This window comes from Homo sapiens, chromosome 7, assembly GCF_000001405.40.
Source record: "Homo sapiens chromosome 7, GRCh38.p14 Primary Assembly".
Lineage (NCBI taxonomy): Eukaryota > Metazoa > Chordata > Mammalia > Primates > Hominidae > Homo > Homo sapiens.
The window spans coordinates 92,359,638-92,377,311 of record NC_000007.14 but is presented as its reverse complement, the minus strand read 5'-3'; the positions used below and the strand labels follow the sequence as shown (position 1 = coordinate 92,377,311).

The following is a 17,674-nucleotide window of genomic DNA, read 5'->3' as shown; positions in this document are numbered from 1 at the left end:
ACCACCTCACTAACTAGTCATTCTCCTGTCTCTGTCTGTCTCCCTCTCCTTGGGCTTCCCTATTTCCTAAGACACAACAATATTAAAAGTAGTTCAATTAAGAACCCTATAAGGACCTCTAAGTGTTCAAGTGAAAGGAAGAGCCTTACATCTCTCCCTTTAAATCAAATGCTAGATGATTAAGCTTAGTAAGGAAGGCATGTTGAAAAGCCAAGATAAGCTGAAAGCTAGGCTTCTTGTGTCAGTTAGCCAAATTGGGAATGCAAAGGAAAAGTTCTTGAAGGAAAGTAAAAGTGCTATTTCAGTGAACACATGAATGATAAGAAAATGAAACATGCTTATTGTTGATATGTTGAAAATTTGAGTGGTCTGGATGGAGGATCAAATGAGCCATGAAATTCCCTTAAGCCAAATCCTAATCCAGAGCAAGGCCCTAGCTCTTTTCAGTTCTATGAAGACAGAGACAGGTAAGGAAGCTGCAGAAGAAAAATTTAAAGTTAGCCAACATTGGTTCATGAGGTTTAAGGAAAGATGCCATCTTCATAATATAAAAGTGCAAGGTAGGCCGGGCACGGTGGCTCACGCCTGTAATCCTAGCACTCTGGAAGGCCTAGGAGGGTGGATTACCTGAGGTCAGGAATTCTAGACCAGCCTAGCAAACATGGTGAAACCCCTTCTCTACTAAAAATACAAAAATTAGCCACGTGTGGTAGCAGGCGCCTGTAATCCTAGCTACTCGGGGGACCAAGACAGGAGAATCGCTTGAACCTGGGAGGCGGAGGTTGCAGTGAGCTGAGATCCACCATTGCACACCAGCCTGGGGGACAAGAGCGAGACTTTGTCTCAAAAAAAAAAAAAATAAAAAATAAAAAAAAAGTGCAAGGTAAAGCAGAAAGTGCTGATGTAGAAGCTGTGGCAAATTATCCAGAAGATCTAGCTAAGATCATTGATGAAAGTGGCTACATTAAACAACAGATTTCCAATGTAGATGAAACTGCTTTCTAGTAGGAGACAGTGCCATCTAGGATTTTCATAGCTACAGAAAAGTCAATGTCTGGCTCCAAAGCTTCGAAGAATGGGCTGACTCTTGTTACGGGATAATGCAGCCAGTTACTTTAAGTTGAAGCCAATGCTCATTTACCATTCTGAAAATCATAGGGTGTTTAAGAACTATGCTAAATCTACTCTGCCTGTGCTCTATACATGGATCAATGAAGCCTGGATGGCAGCCCATCTGTTTATGGCATGGTTTACTGAATATTATAAGCCCACTGTTGAGAGCTATTACTCAGAAAAAAAGATTCCTTTTAAAATATTACTGCTCATTGGCAATGCACATGGTCATCCAAGAGCTCTGATGGAGATGTACAAGGAAATGAATGTTGTTTTAATGTCTGCTAACACAACATCCGTTCTGCAGCCTATGGATTAAGCGGTCATTTTGACTTTCAAGTCTTATTATTTAAGAAATGTATTTTGTAAGGCTAAAGCTGCCACAGATAGTGATTCCTCTGACAGATCTAGGCAGAGTAAATGGAAAATCTTCTGGAAAGGATTCACCATTCTAGATGCAATTAAGAACATTTGTGATTCATGGGAGGAAGTAAAAATATCAACATGAACAGGAGTTTGGAAAAAGTTGATTCCTATCCTCATGGATGACTTTGAAGAGTTCAAAACTTCAGTAGAAAAAATAACCTCAGATGTGGTAGAAATAGCAAAAGAACTGGAAGTGCAGCCTGAAGATGTGACTGAATTGCTATAATCTCATGATAAAACTTGAATTGGGGAGAAGTTGTTTCTTACGGATAAGCAAAGAAACTGGTTTCTTGAGACAGAATAGGCTCCTGGTAAAGACTCTGTAAACATTGTTGAAATGACAACAAAGACTAGAATATTACATAAACAGCTGACAAAGCAGTGACAGGATTTGAGAGAACTGACTTTAACTTTAAAAGTTCTATCAGAGGTCAAATTCTATAATACAGTATTATATTGTGAAAGGCAGTCAACAGAAGCAGCAAATTTCATTGTTGTCTTATTTTAAGAAACTGCCACAGCCAACTCAACCTTCAGCAACCACCACCCTGTTCAGTTAGCAGCATCAACACTGAGGCAAGGCTCTCCATCAGCAAATAGACTATGACTCACTGAAGGTTCAGATAATAGTTAGCATTTTTTAGTAACAAAGTATTTTTAAATTAAGGTATGTACTTTAAAAAATGCATTATGCTATTACACTTAACAGACAGTGTGAATTTACAGTTAAACTTTTATATGCAGTGGAAAACAAAAAAATTGTGATTTACTTGACTGTGATATCTGCTTCACTGCAGTGGTCTGGAACTGGACCACAGCATCTCTGAGATATGGCTGTATCTCCCTTATTCTTCATATTGTGTCTTTGAACTCCCTCACCTTCATTTTTTTTTTCTTGATTATGTTAGCTTAGTGGTTTATCTATCTTATTTTTTGTTAAAATCACTTTTTGGATTTATTTATTAGTCGCGTTTTCAGTTTTAAAGTCACTGATTTCTGCATTAAAAAAACCAGAACCTTTCTCCTGGTTTTCTTCAAGTTTATTTTTTTTCTAAATTTTTGAGTCATATCCTTAATTAATTCCTTATTCTGTATTAGTTTAAATAAGGTGATGCACATTTCTCAGCATTGCTTTAGCTATGGCCCTCAAGTTCTGTTAAGTAGTATTTTCATTACCCTTGTTTTAAAATTCTTGAAAGTCCATTTTTATTTCCTTTTTTACTCAAGAGTTGCTATTTAAAATTTCTAAAAGACATCTTGTAACTTTACTATTAATTTCTTTCTTTCTTTTTTTGATATGGAGTTTTGCTCTTGTTGCCCACGCTGGAGTGCAATGGCACAATCTCAGCTCACTGCAACCTCCGCCTCCCAGGTTCAAGTGACACTCCTACCTTAGCCTCCCTAGTAGCTGGGATTACAGGTGCCCGTCACCATACCCAGACAATTTTTTGTATTTTTAGTAGAGATGAGGCTTCACTATGTTGGCCAGGATGGTCTCAAACTCCTGTCCTCAGGTGATCTGCCTGCCTCAGCCTCCCAAAGTGCTGGGATTACAGGCGTGAGCCACCATGCCTGGCCTTAATCTCTATTTTACTCCCTTATGATCGGAGAATATTATTTGTACTATTTTCTATTTTTTGGAATGTTATTGGGGTTTTTCTTTTATAATCAATGGTTAATTTTTTTGTGAGTGCTCCATGAGTACTTAAAAAGATGGCACAGTCCACAGTTTCAGTATGCAGTTTGAATATATAATGAACAGATATACCTTAGTAATTATGGCATTTAAATCTTCTACATTTTATAATGGAAAAAACGTTATAGCATACAGTTATACAGAATCAGATACTATACATGATTTAAAATATTTAAGAATGCACAATTTAAATTATCTAAAGGGAAATTTTAAAAAGTGTTTTTAAAATAAACAAGCTTATTTTTAGGGGAAGAAATTTCTCATTCTTTAAAAACACATTTGAGTTCAAAAGTAAAAACTGCCTACTGAATCATACATAATCAATGCTGAGGCATTAGTAAAGGTATGTTACGATTTACCAATTATGTCAGTGCATGGATTCAATTACACATGACCATGTTGTTACACCTACACATTTAAAATATAGTATATATGATTTTGCTGCAGTAATGTGATACTTTTACATAAGTCTTCTGTGTCACAGTAAGAATGCTACTTGTCAGCTTTTATTGTTCAATGCAAACACTTCAGATGGTATAATAAATACAACTACTACATTTACATAGCTTATAAGTAAATGTTTCTTTTCAATGCAACAGAAGCTTAAGCAAAGTCTGTTTAAGTTGGATTACCTTATATTAGCAGCCAGATTAATTCATGAAAACATTCATGAATGCAATACATATTTATCAAGTATTTACTACCAGTAGGTGTTATGCAGGAAATAAAGATAATATTGGAGTCTGTCTCAGCAGCCAACTATAAATTTTTATTGTCATTTGATAGTTCTTTATACATCTATGTAGTCTATATCAGATTTTCCAAGAGGAATAAAAAAGATATGGACATTGGAGATAAGATCACAAATAGATGAAATAATTTTGGCTGGATCCTTAGCTGAACAATAAATAACACTTTTGAATATTTTGCTCACAACACTGCCCTAGGTTTTTCTTTCTGCCTCTTAGAGAATCATTATTACTGCCTCACTAAGCCAATTCATTTATATTAATTTTACAGTAATACAGACTTATAAAAATTATTTTGTAACTGCCATTCTTTTGCAAGTATAGTAATAATCATTAAGCCTCAAAGTTAAAAATCAAGTAATACCTAGAAGATATTATTATATTTTACTGGAATCTTAACCATTTAAATTTCCTTCATGTCCTAAACTAGAAAAAAAAATACACTTTCCTCTCAATAACTTTAAATAATCATTTTATACATAGATGACATTTCTAATGATAAAGCAAAAAAAATCAGAATATCATTATAATTTTAAACCAAAAAAGGTTCATAAATGTAGGTAGGTAGGGATTAATAAAATGTTATTAATAACATACCAGCATATTTGTTTTAAACACACTGCTGTTTCTTCCTGTACAAGTAAGTAAAGAGGGTATTTATTCTATCTAGCCTTTTTGACCTCTAACATTAATCATTTATATTAAGTATTTTTCAGCCAAGTGAATCTTGGTTGGCATTTTCATTTTCAATATAATAAACAGTTACTTATTTAATTGAAGGTTTTATTAGCAGACCTAAAGTCTGGCCACTGCTTTGGGTTCTTGTATTATACAGACATCTATATATAGGTGTTCCCTGGTATCCATGGAGGATTGGTTCCAAGACCTCCTGCAAACACCAAAATCTGAGAATAATCAAGTCCCCGACAAAAAATGGTGTATTATTTGCATACTAACCTATGCACATCCTCTAGTATACTTTACATAATCTCTAGATTACTTATAGTATCTTACAATGTACATGCTATGTAAATAGTTGTTATACTGCATTGTTTAGGGAATAATTACAAAAAAAAATCTGTACATGTTCGATACAGATGCAATTTTTTTCCCTAAGTATTTTTGATCTGTGGTTGGCTGAATCCATGAATGCAGAACCCAACACTATGAAACCCATGGATACAGAGAGCCAATTGTATGGAGACAGTATATGGACTGGATTTGGGCCTAGTTTGGGCCTTGAGTCTAAGCCGTACGCTCCAAAACCAGCTTTGCAAAAGATCTATATAAGGCAGCACTTTGTTAATCATTTGATACACACACACACACACACACACACACACACACACACACACACACACACACACACACACACACCCCTCTCTCAAGACTCTCACTGGGGAAGGTGACTAGCGGGGAAGGTGACTAGCAAGGAAGGATTCATGAATTTCTGATCTTCTGGTTGAATACCATAGGTTCTTACACTTACCTTTTTGTTTTTGTTTTTATTTCTGTAGAGATGGGGTTTTGGTGTTTTGCCCAGGCTGGTCTTGAACCCCTGGCCTCAAGTGATCCTCCTGCCTCAACCTCCTGAAGTGCTGGGATTATAGGCAAGAGCCACTGCACCAGGCCCCCTCAAATAATTTATCCTTTGGATTGACAATCAAACTAAATTAAGATTCCAAATGCAAAGCATGCAAAATCCTCTTTAACTTCTTACCTTAGCACACTGCATGTGATTGCAGCCTTCATTCTTCTGTATTGGAGACTTACAGTTGGCACAAGGCTTGGAGTTAGTTAATAACCAGAGACAATTGGCGGCATCCTCGTAGGCTTCACTAACTCCCACAACTTTGGGATATTAAACACAATCACAAAAATAAATGATTTAGTGTACAACTTCTGGGGGAAAAAAAAACCCTCCACACTTTTCTTTGCAGGCTGTCTCTCAATTTTAATAAAATATTTATTTTCTGATCAGGGTCTGTGGCAACACTTTTAAACTGCTTCATTTTGAATAGCCTAAGATAAGGAACTCTATTCCAAAAGACCTATTCGTGAAACCTGGTTTAAGGGCGATTTCTCCATAAACTTGTGCCCAAATAAACTGGGATCAAAAACAATATACACAAAAAAATTTAAAAAAAAAAAAGCAACATATTACTCCATTTAAAATAACTATTGTATCACAGAAAATTACAGAAAGAACAATTACTTTAGAAAATAATTTACTTAACAGGCCAGATGCAAATATAATGATCAGAAACTCTTTACCATAGTAAAAAGCAAAAAATATCAACATCTTTTTTATCCATGATTATTCTGGATAAGCTTAAAATTAATTCAATGTGACATATCTAAAACTAAGCATCTCATTTATTACACCCTCTTTCTCTATCATATCTGGTTCCTCTCCATTCCCAGTTCTTATTGCTTTAAGCTAGGGTCCTTCATACCTCTTGCCTAGACAATTAAAGCATAGAAAACCAACTTATCTCCCCAGTTCCTTCAAGGGCCCACCTCCAACTACACTGCTGGCACAGTGATTTTTTAAAAATCTCTCCATGTTTTTCTTTTATTGACACAAAATATTTTACATATTTATGGGTAGATGTGACTGTAATGTGCATAGAATGTGTAATAAGTCAGGACATCTGAAGTACCCACCACCTTGAGTAATTATCATTTCTATGTGTTGGTATCATTTCAAGTCCTCCCTTCTAGTTGTTTTGAAATATAAGAAATATTGTCCTCTATCTAACTCTATGTTTGTCCCCATTAACCAACTTTTTTTTTTTTTTTTTTTTTTTTTTTTTTTTGAGACAAGAGTCTTGCTCTGTCACCCAGGCTGGAGTGCAGTGGCTCGATCTCGGCTCACTGCAAGCTCCACCTCCCGGGTTCATGCCATTCTCCTGCCTCAGCCTCCCGAGTAGCTGGGACTATAGGCGCCTGCCACCACGCCTGGCTAATTTTTTGTATTTTTAGTAGACATGGGGTTTCACCATGTTAGCCAGGATGGTCTCGATCTCCTGACCTCGTGATCCGCCCGCCTCGGCCTCCCAAAGTGCTGGGATTACAGGAGTGAGCCACCGTGCCCGGCCCCCATTACCCAACTTTTCTTCATCCTCCCATCCCCTGCCAGCCACCCATCCCACAGTGATCTTTTTAGAATACACACCACTTAAAATCTTTTAATTTGCTCCCCATTGACTACAAGATAAAATCCAATTGCTTTTGCAAAGAATATAAAGCCTATTATGATATGGCCCATCTGGCAAGCTCCTCTCACCCTCCATCCCTAATCAAACTTATACTCTTCATTTTCTTAAACTCAACTTATTTTACTATAATTTGAGATCTGCAATCTTAAGGAATGCCATGGTTTTTAAAGATTCTAAATTTTACATTTTATAAACTTCCCTCTCCCTTCCATGGACAGAGTTAGGGGCTAGAGAGTTCCAGATGCATGATTAAAAATTTTTTTCCTGCAAGAATGTCAGCAATCAAGTTGGTTTTGTTTTATTTTCTTTTTTAACTCTAAGTGCACTGAGAAGGCCTACATTTTCTTTACTCAAAGAGATGCCAGAAAATCATTTTAGAATCACTGAAAGTGGCCCATCTAATCAAAGCTTTGTTTACATGCAGTCACTTTCAGAAGGGTGGTGGGGTAAATGGTTGGCTCTACTGTCAAAGCAGGAGAGAAATCAGACCCCTTGCAGTTTGAAATTCAAAAAGAAAAGTTACCCAACCCCTAGATATAAGCCCCTGGGGAAGTAAGGGGGACAAAGGTTTGGGCTCACTGACCCCTGGGAAGTGGCTCTGTGTATGGATTGGAAGGGCTGAGCACCAGAAGCAGAGAAGCAGTCCTCTGTTGGAGCCTAGCAGCACAGAAGTAGAGCTGTCTTGCTGCAAGGAACCCCAAGTGCTTGCCTACTTAAGTTTATATTAACAACAGAACAGCAGCTACTGTTGGACTGTAAAAGCATTGGTTTTTAATTCCACACAGCAAAGAGAAACAGCGGTAATGAACTGATCAGACTTTACTCCAGTTCTGAACACACTTGGTAGAAGATGGTTTGATTAAGGTGTTGGTGGAAAGAATTCTCAGATAATTTGGTGGGTGACAGGAGTTTCAGAAGGAACTTAGTATACTTAGGGCTAATAAGGCCAAGCTGTGGAGGCAATTCCACTTACAAAGGGTATTGCTATAATACCTAATCATTTAAGTACACTTCACATTTAAACATTTAATTTTTATTAAAAGTAGTGGCCTTTCTTCTTCTTTCAGCATCAACATTATTGTTAGCTCAGAGGCACTAACATATTCTTATGACTCTTATTGTCCATTGTTATAATAAATAAAGCACAAAGCCATTAAAACAAAGCAGCAGTGTGGCCTGCAACATAACAGTTTTTTCTTCCACCCTTGGAGAGAATGTGATCTCCTAACTGCATTTTAGTGAACTGCATGAAGTAAATCATGTTCAGGGAATAACCAACTATTACTATGATAAAAACTCATGCTTGAAAAAATACCTTTATTTCCTATTCTCTGAACATGCTTATTCTATACGTCTGTCCCTTATACATACATTTTTTTTTTTTTTGAGACGGAGTCTCGCACTGTCGCCCAGGCTGGAGTGCAATGGCATGATCTCAGCTCACTGCAAACTCTGCCTCCTGGGTTCAAGTGATTCTCATGCCTCAACCTCCCAAGTAGTTGGGACTACAGGTGCCCGCCACCACACCTGGCTAATTTTTTTTTGTATTTTTAGTAGAGACGGGGTTTCACCATGTTGACTTGGCTGGTCTCAAACTCCTGACCTGAAGTGATCTGCCTGCGTTGGCCTCTCCAAGTACTGGGATTACAGGCATGAGTCACTGCATCCAGCTTATACATACTGTTCTTAACACCAACAACACCGTATCTCCCTTCAATCTATCTGGTGAGATTTTTTCACCTCTACTGACTTTCAAACTCTTCTCTTCACTTCAGTTACAGCTCTTATTCTTTCTTAATAATCTAGTGTGCTTAGGTCTCTTTCTAAAACGTATTAACTTCATAATAAAGTATTAGAGTATCAGAAAATCCAAGATCTATTAACAGAATCAACATGTATGCATGTGAACAGTTGCTTTTAAAAACTGAATTTTTATTTTTAATTTTTTTTAGAAATAGAGATTCACTCTATTATCCAGACTGGAATGCAGTGGTGCAATCATAGCTCACTGTAGCCTTCAACTTCTGGGCTCAAGAGATCCTCCTACCTCAGCTTCCCAAGTAGCTAGGACTACAGGCATGTGCCACAATGCCTAGCTAAGTTTTTTATTTTTTGGAGAGGTGGGATCTCACTGTGTTGCCCAGGCTTGTCTTGAACTCTGAGCGTCAAGTGATCCTCTTGCCTTGGCCTCCCAAAGTGCTGGGATTACAGGCGTAAACCACTGCACCTAGTCAAAGACTGAATTTTTAAATAATACAATTTGAACTCAGTTTATTGAGTATGTCCCATGAAAAATACTGGTCTGAAAAATTTATAAATTAACCATCATTTCATAAAAAATATAACCATTCCTGCTTCTTGCTCTAATTAGACACAACAGAGGCTATTTCAGTGCTTAACGAACACTATTTAAATCTTTATATGAAATTAATTCCTTGAATTGATTTCAGCATATTTTCTAATACTTTTTTCTCATTAATTAGATTTTCTCATCCTGAGTCTCATAATTCAAAGACTTCGGAAAACTGGGCATAAAGAAGAAAATTATTTCATGAAAACACAAATTTGGTTAAACATGCTTATGCCATTTTTTTTTGCATAAAATGCAAAGTAAAAATGCTATGATCCAAATACATGAAGCTAAAATAGTACCTAATCACACTTTTCCTTTTTGAAATATCATTTTTGTATATTTAATGATGGGGTTCTACTTTAGTATTATAGTTGGCCAATTATTGTTCACTTTAATCCTCGCCCTAAATTTCATAAACATAAGTGGCCATTACTGGTCACTATCTTTCAGTGTGGAGGACACAAATCAGTAGAGTGAGAAAACTCCTAGGCTTTTCTTAACAATAACTGGGACTTTCTCTGCAGCCTTGGCTTGGTTCCTTCTCTGGTAGAACAAATCTCAGGTGTCTTCAGCCTTTTGTCTCCTATCATGTTTTCAAACATTCTTCCATCTTTCCAAATCAAAACCCCCTTTGGGATCTCCCTAGAAGTAACCATGTATATACCATCTATACCATTTTCTAGCTTTTCTATTTCTTTCCTCCTCTTAGTATCAGGATCATTATCATGAGGAAGGACATTTTTTCACAGTCCCGCCCATAATCTGTTCTCACTAGCCAGGCCATTCTTCTTCCCCTTCCCTAGCAAAATCTTATCTGTGGGTATGGAATGATTCATCCAATTTTAATATGGTAAGGGATAACTAAAAATAGCCATCTATTTAAAAATACTTGCTTTAAAGAGTTTTTCTGCATTCTGATACCAGATGTGAGATGGATATGCTGTGTGGCAGGACATTTTTGTTTCTCTTGGCCTTGGTATCTCCCTCTGTAAAATCGGGGTAATTTGTGAATTAAGGGCAAGTAGGGAGATGTATTACTCTAATTAGACCACAGGCAAAACAGAAGATTATAATGAACTTGAAGAATTGTGGGAAGAAACCCCAAAGGGGGTTTTGATTTGGAAAGATGGAAGAATGTTTGAAAACATGATAGGAGACAAAAGACTGAAGACACCTGAGATTTGTTCTACCAGAGAAGGACTATATAAACCTAAAAGATCATACCCATAGTTTAAGACTGCTTGAGTGAATGATCAGCAGTCACCTAGTAAGTGATCTGTTCTTACAGTTGGAACCTTTAAAGATGAACAGTTCTTTCAGGGTAATAGATCAAATTTGGGGATAAAAGACTGGGAAAGTGATATACAAAGCCATTTGATGCCACAGGATAGTAGCACTTTGAGAGGGCCAGTGTATCACTTAGTGCACACAAGGAGATGAGTATTCACCTCGAGCTCCCAGGACCCAGGATCTAGACAGCTGTGGAGATGCTAACTTGCCTCAGAGGCTGGGGTGGGGGTTTGGGGGAAAATAAAAGAAAAATACTTGCTTTATATTTCAAATATTGCTGGGCATTTTCAACTCAAGAATTGAATAATATGCTAGACTAATTACTTCTTATGGTGTATTAAATCTTTTAGGCAACTAGCAGGCACACAAGATTTACTACTTAAGATTATTTAATCTGTAATCCCAGCACTTTGGGAGGCTGAGGCAGGCGGATCACGAGGTCAGATCAAGACCATCCTGGCTAACATGGTGAAACCCCGTCTCTACTAAAAATACAAAAAATTAGCCGGGCATGGTGGCAGGTGCCTGTAGCCCAGCTACTCGGGAGGCTGGGGCAGGAGAACAGAGTGAACCCGGGAGGCGGAGCTTGCAGTGAGCCGAGATCGCACCACTGCACTCCAGCCCGGGCGACAGAGCGAGACTGTCTCAAAAAAAAAAAAAAAAAAAAAAAAAAAAGATTATTTAATATATCTTATAACTCTCCTGTATATGCCCCCTCCCACCTGAATTACCCATCTTAAGCCTTCATATCCTCTCACCTGGTCATTCTGAAGTTGTCTCAGAACTAACATTCTTACCTAGTTTCTCAATAATCTCCATTTTATCATCCATACTTCTGCCTGAGTGATCTTTGTAAGTAAGCATCTTCATTCATCACTCTCCTACTTAAAACCCCTTTTCAGTGTCTAGGATTTCCTAGCATTGTGCATAACCACCTCTTTGTGCCCAATGCTTGATTTGGACTCCTGTCTGCACAGTCTCATCTCTCAATGCATCACTAAAGTGATTGTATGAATTATTTGCAGTCTTTGAATATGCCACGCTACTTCATATTGCCACTTCACTCTATGCCTGGAATGTCTTTCCTATTCTGGTTCATGTGAAGGACATCTATCAGCTTTCAACATGCAGCTTGAGCATCAATTCTTTTATAAAGTGTTTCCTAACCCTCTCCCATAGATAATTGGCCTCCTCTTTCTTTGTCCTTCCCCTCCCCTAAAAGTTATCACATACATGAACAATGTTCTCTCACATTCATAACACATTTTTCCTTAGTTTTGTATACAGTTGCCTCTCTAAAATATAAACTTCAAGAGCATAGAGGGCATTTACTTCTGTATTCTAACATAAAACAGCACTCAATAAACGTTAATTAAATAATGAAGATAACATTTAAAATTAACAATTTATTCCTAAGTTTCTTAGCATCTTTTCTGAGTTTCAGATGAACACTTATAAAATTCCACTGGACATCTCCACACATATGTTCTGTAAGTACTTCAAGTTCAGAATGTCTACCACCAAAACTCATTATTTTCCCCGGAAAGTCACTTGCTTATCTGAGTTTCCTGTTTCACTAATGGCATAATTTACCCTCCGACCCAAACTAAAAATTCACCGTCCTACCTTTAGTCTATCTTTTCTTCAATTCACCCTTCATACTCATCAGTTATCTTGATAAAAATAACTTTTCTGATACTGCAACTTCTCTACTAAAATAACACACTTTATGGCTTATTCTATTAGGAGGATAAATTCAAACAATTTGGCAATAACACTCACAATCTGGCAACACCTACCTTTCTAGCCTCATCTCTAGCAAGTTTCTCCCATGGACCTTAACCTTAAGTTCTAAAGAAATATATAAAGAAATGCAGGTAGGTGGCCAATAGCAAGCCATTCATAACAGAAATATAAATATTTCTAGCTGCCAGAAGCAAGAAAATAAAGCAAATTCCAATTGTTTTGTCACATCTAAAGGTGCTGCAGGGTAATGGTATGAATCTATTTATGGAAGACAAACACATATACACACCCATACATATCAGAATAGGGGAAATGGGTGGGTATGAAGAGCAATGGCTAGTACAATGAATCTGGGGAACAAACACAATCTATAAAGGCTTTTTTTTTTTTTTTTTTTTTTTTTTTTTAGATGGAGTCTTGCTCTGGCATCCAGGCTAGAGTGCAGTGGGGCAATTCAGCTCAATGCAACCTCCACCTCCTGGGTTCAAGCGATTCTCCTGCCTTAGCCTCCTGAGTAGCTGGGATTACAGGCGCACACCACCATGCCGGACTAATTTAATTTTTGTATTTTTAGTAGAGATTGGGTTTCACCATGTTGGCCAAGATGGTCTTGAACTCCAGACCTCAAGTGATCCACCTGCCTCGGCCTCCCAAAGTGCTAGGATTACAGATGTGAGCCATTGTGCCTGGCTTAAAAAATCTGTTGACTAAACGGTGCATGAACAGGACAAGAATGTTTAATCAGGCTTCACTATAAAATATCCAAAGATTATCCACTTCTCTTTGCTCCTGATAATGGACATGAAGCCTTCGCAACAAGTGAAAGGAATCTCTTTCATTATCAACTAATAAGTGGCATTTTGGTTTATATGGTAGTCTCTTCTCCGTGGGTCAGAATAACCCTGAGTCAGTGGACAAAATGACCCTCGTAGATCTAAAATGCTGAGGACCAGCCCTCAGGCAGTGGTAAATCCCCTGATATAATACAAGCCTGTAAAGTATCATGGCCGCCAGGCCATCTCTCTCAATGCCACTTCAGTTGCTGACAGTAATTACCTACTACGAGGCAGAGATGCTAAACTCCAGTTCATAGCTCACTGCCTTCAAGAAGATTCTTTGACACCCTTTCTTCCCCCAACCTGAGTTTGTCATTGTTTCTGTACTCTCATCTTTACTCAACTATATCAGTTATCATATGATACCGCAATGTCCGACTGCTTCCCTCTAGCCTCTGCATGCCCTGAAGTCTGGCATCATCTTTATTATGTGCTTTGCTCATGTAAGTGTGGATTTTTTTTTTCTTTTTTTGAGACGGAGTCTCGCTCTGTCACAAGGCTGGAGTGCAGTGGCGCAATCTTGCCTCACTGCAATCTCCACCTCCTGGGTTCAAGCAATTCTCCTGCCTCAGCCTCCCAAGTAGCTGGGACTACAGGCACGTGCCACCACGCCCAGCTAATTTTTTTATTTTTAGTAGAGATGGGGTTTCACCATGTTGGCCAGGATGGTCTCCATCTCTTGACCTCATGATCCGCCTGCCTCTCAGCCTCCCAAAGTGCTGGGATTACAGGTGTGAGCCCCTGCGCCCGGCCCCTATAAGTGTAGATTTATTGGGTGACTTGTGACATCTCAAGCTAACACCATTATCTAAGTCTTTTTTTTTTTTTAAAGACCAGAACTAATTAATTTTCACTTATATTTTTTGAGAGAAAACAGTTGTCATAAAACACTTTAGAAGATGGGAAATTATTGCAAAGCAGATAGATTTCTCTGTTAAATGTGGGAACTGCTATTAGGAAGGCTTTAAAAAGGAGTCCCCTCAGAGATTCAAACCCATTCTGTTCACAAGGCACATGCCCTGTGTCATTCAACCCAATCTAAGCATTAGTTTTCCTCTGTAAAACAGGATTACTAACATCAACCTCATATCATTTCTGTGATGATTAACAGAGATAATGTATTTACAGAAGTCTCAGTGACAATACTTGTCTATATGGTATTTAACATCAGTAAATCTATAGAACCACATAACAGCAAGAAATTAACTTGCTGCATCCTTCATTGGAAGCTTTCAGGGATATGAGAAGCTCACTCTCATTACAGATCATATACTACTTCCACAAAGTACAGAACAATTGGTTGGCTCACCCTAGGATAAAAGAAAAGGGCTATAGGAGGAGGATTAAATGGGACCCCCATTTACCCTGTTTAACTTCAGCTGGAAAGTAAGTCTGTTAGAAACATGGAACTTGTCCATGATTCCTCCTTGCCAAAACTCTATTATCTCCAAAAGGAAGTTAGTCAAAGGGATTGTGATGTTAAACAGGAGAGCACTTGCATTAACAAATCTGAAAACCTCTTAAATAAAGACTAAAAAAGATATGACCACATTATCTTTTGAATGCTATCAGGAAATATGCAGCAAAGCTATCTAAAATTCCTCTTACGTTCTTCTGGTTTCATTTCGGTTATTTTTTGCAGCCAATTCTTCCATGTTTGGCAGTCACAAGGCTCATGTGCTTCACCAAGGCACTCCCTAAAGAAAATAAACACAGAAAAGACAATTTTAAAATATTCTTCATCAACATCAAGGTAAAAAAAGTGTGTAGAGGCCGGGCGTGGTGGCTCATGCCTGTAATCCCAGCACTTTGGGAGGCCAAGGCGGGTGGATCACCTGAGGTCAGGAGTTCGAGACCAGCCTGGCCAATATGGTGAAACCCCGTCTCTACTAAAAATACAAAAAATTAGTCGGGCGTGGTGGCACATGCCTATAATCCCAGCTACTCAGGAGGCTGACGCAGGAGAAACGCTTGAACCTGGGAGGTGGAGGTTGCAGTGAGCCGAGATTGCACCATTGCACTCCAGCCTGGGGAACAAGAGTGAAACTCCATTTAAAAAAAAAAAACAAAAAAAGTAGAAAGTATTCTTCCAATTTTAAAGTTGAAAAAAGTAAGGCACGGTGACTAATGAGAGATGGAGCATTTCAATGGAGGCACTAAAAATGAGATTCCAAAGCTTGATACCATTAGACCAGTTTTATTAAAAAAAAAATCAGTACATTCATTTACATACTTGAAAAGTTCTAAATAGATTAATATTTATAACTTAGATTTGCAAGCCTTCAGAGCTTTAAAACATTTGAATCAATTACGTTTTATCCTCATTAATATTTTAAATTCTTGTTATTCAAAGGTGTATTCCTGGCCATTACTGAGCAGCTTTTTAGACATGCAGAAGAACAGGCCCCATGTGATTTACAGATTAGAATCTATATTTTATCAAAATTACCAAATGAACCTTCTTCATTTTAAAGTTTGAAAAACACTGTTTTAAGTTGAATTACTGTAGTTACTTTTACCTCTGCATCTCCAGGTAACAGCTAGGGTAACTCAATTTACTTTTATTGGAATTTGGGAAATTTTGATTTAAATAATTAAAAACATCAATTTACCATTTGTAACTCTATTTTATATTCTTTCCATAGCTATTTAAGAAGTCAAACACTAAAACGAGCCTAAAGCCTTGATGAACTGCCATTTTAATTCAAGATGATGCTATATTGTATAGGACAAAGGTAATTATTCCAGTAAATAAAAAAATATTATTCGGAGGAGGGAACAACCCAATCTGGAAGTGATATCATCACCATCAGTGCTATTTTAAAAGATTTTATTTACAAAGGTTAGGCTTGGGCAGGGAGTGGTGGCTCGTGCCTGTAGTCCCAGCTACTTGGGAGGCTGAGGTAGGAGGATCACTTGAGTCTGGGAGGTGGAGGCTGCAGTGAGCTGACATCATGCCACTGCAGTCCAGCCTAGGCAACAGAGCAAGACCCCATTTCGAGGAAAAAAAATAAAAAAAAGTTATGTGTGTTAAGAAGACACACCAACTGACTCATTTAGTCTTAAAAACTAAGAGGAAATTAAGAATGCATCGATTATACTTCATATTTGTTAAAATGGTGATTATTAAAAAACATAAATTGTTGGTGTGGATGTGCAAAGATGGGAACCCTTGTGCACTGCTGATAGAAATGTAAATGCTGATGCAGTTGCTGTGAAAAATAGTTTGGTGACTCCTCATAAAGTTAAACTTAGAATTACCATATGATTCAGCAATTTCATTCTAAGGTATGAGAGAACTGAAAGCAAGGATTCAAACTTGTACACCAACATTCACAGTATTATTCACAACAGCTAAAAGGGGGAAACAACCCAAGTGTCTATCAACAGATGAATGGATAAACAAATTGTGCAGTATACACACACACAAACACACACACACGTTCACACAATTGAATATTCAGCCATAAGAAGGAATAATATTTGGATACATGCTACACTATGAATGAGCCTTAAAAACATTTTGTTAAGTGAAATAAGCCAGACACAAAAGTACAAATATTCTAGAATTCCACTTACATTAAATATTTAGAATAGGCAAATTCATAGAGAAAGAAAGTAGAGTGGTTGTTACCAGCTTGGGGGAGGAGAGGATGGGGAGTTACTGCTTAATGGTTATAGTTTCTGCTTGGGATAATGAAAAAGTTCTGAAAATGAAAAGTGGTTATGAAATGTTATAGTTGCACTGTGAATGCAATTAATGTCACTGAATTGCATACTTAAAAATGGTTACATGGTAAAAAAAAATGCACCAATTGCCTTGAAAGGGTAATTTACTTTCCTTACACTCCTGACTTATCATCTAATCTGGCACTTGGGAAATCTTTTCCATAATTGTGGTTTTACAGAGCTCCTAGCAACTTAGTGGTAGCTTAACAGACATTCAAAAAATATTGGGTTGATTAAAATATGGAAGTGAGCTGGGCACAATGGCTACTCGGGAGGCTGAGGCAGAAGAATCAATGGAGCCCAGGAGTTCGAGGCTATAGTGTGCTATTACCACTCTGTGAATAGCCACGGCACTCTAGCCTGTGCAACACAGCATGACCTAATCTCTTTAAAAAAGTGGATATATAAAGTCAGGAAACAACAGATGCTGGAGAGGATGTGGAAAAATAGGAACGCTTTTACACTGTTGGTGGGAGTGTAAATTAGTTCAACCATTGTGGAAGACTGTGGTGATT

The 17,674-nt window shown here is 37.7% G+C and overlaps 1 protein-coding gene across 1 annotated transcript in view; it reads right to left on the bottom strand.

Moving 5' to 3' along the window:
• Nucleotides 1-17,674, bottom strand: part of ANKIB1 (ankyrin repeat and IBR domain containing 1) — a 155,410-nt gene that overhangs the window by 24,072 nt on the left and 113,664 nt on the right. The window contains exons 10-11 of the mRNA NM_019004.2: nucleotides 15,039-15,127; nucleotides 5,705-5,835 (exon numbers count right to left, since the gene is read on the bottom strand). Of these exons, the coding sequence (NP_061877.1) occupies nucleotides 5,705-5,835; nucleotides 15,039-15,127 (220 nt within the window). The remainder of the gene's footprint in view (nucleotides 1-5,704; nucleotides 5,836-15,038; nucleotides 15,128-17,674) is intronic.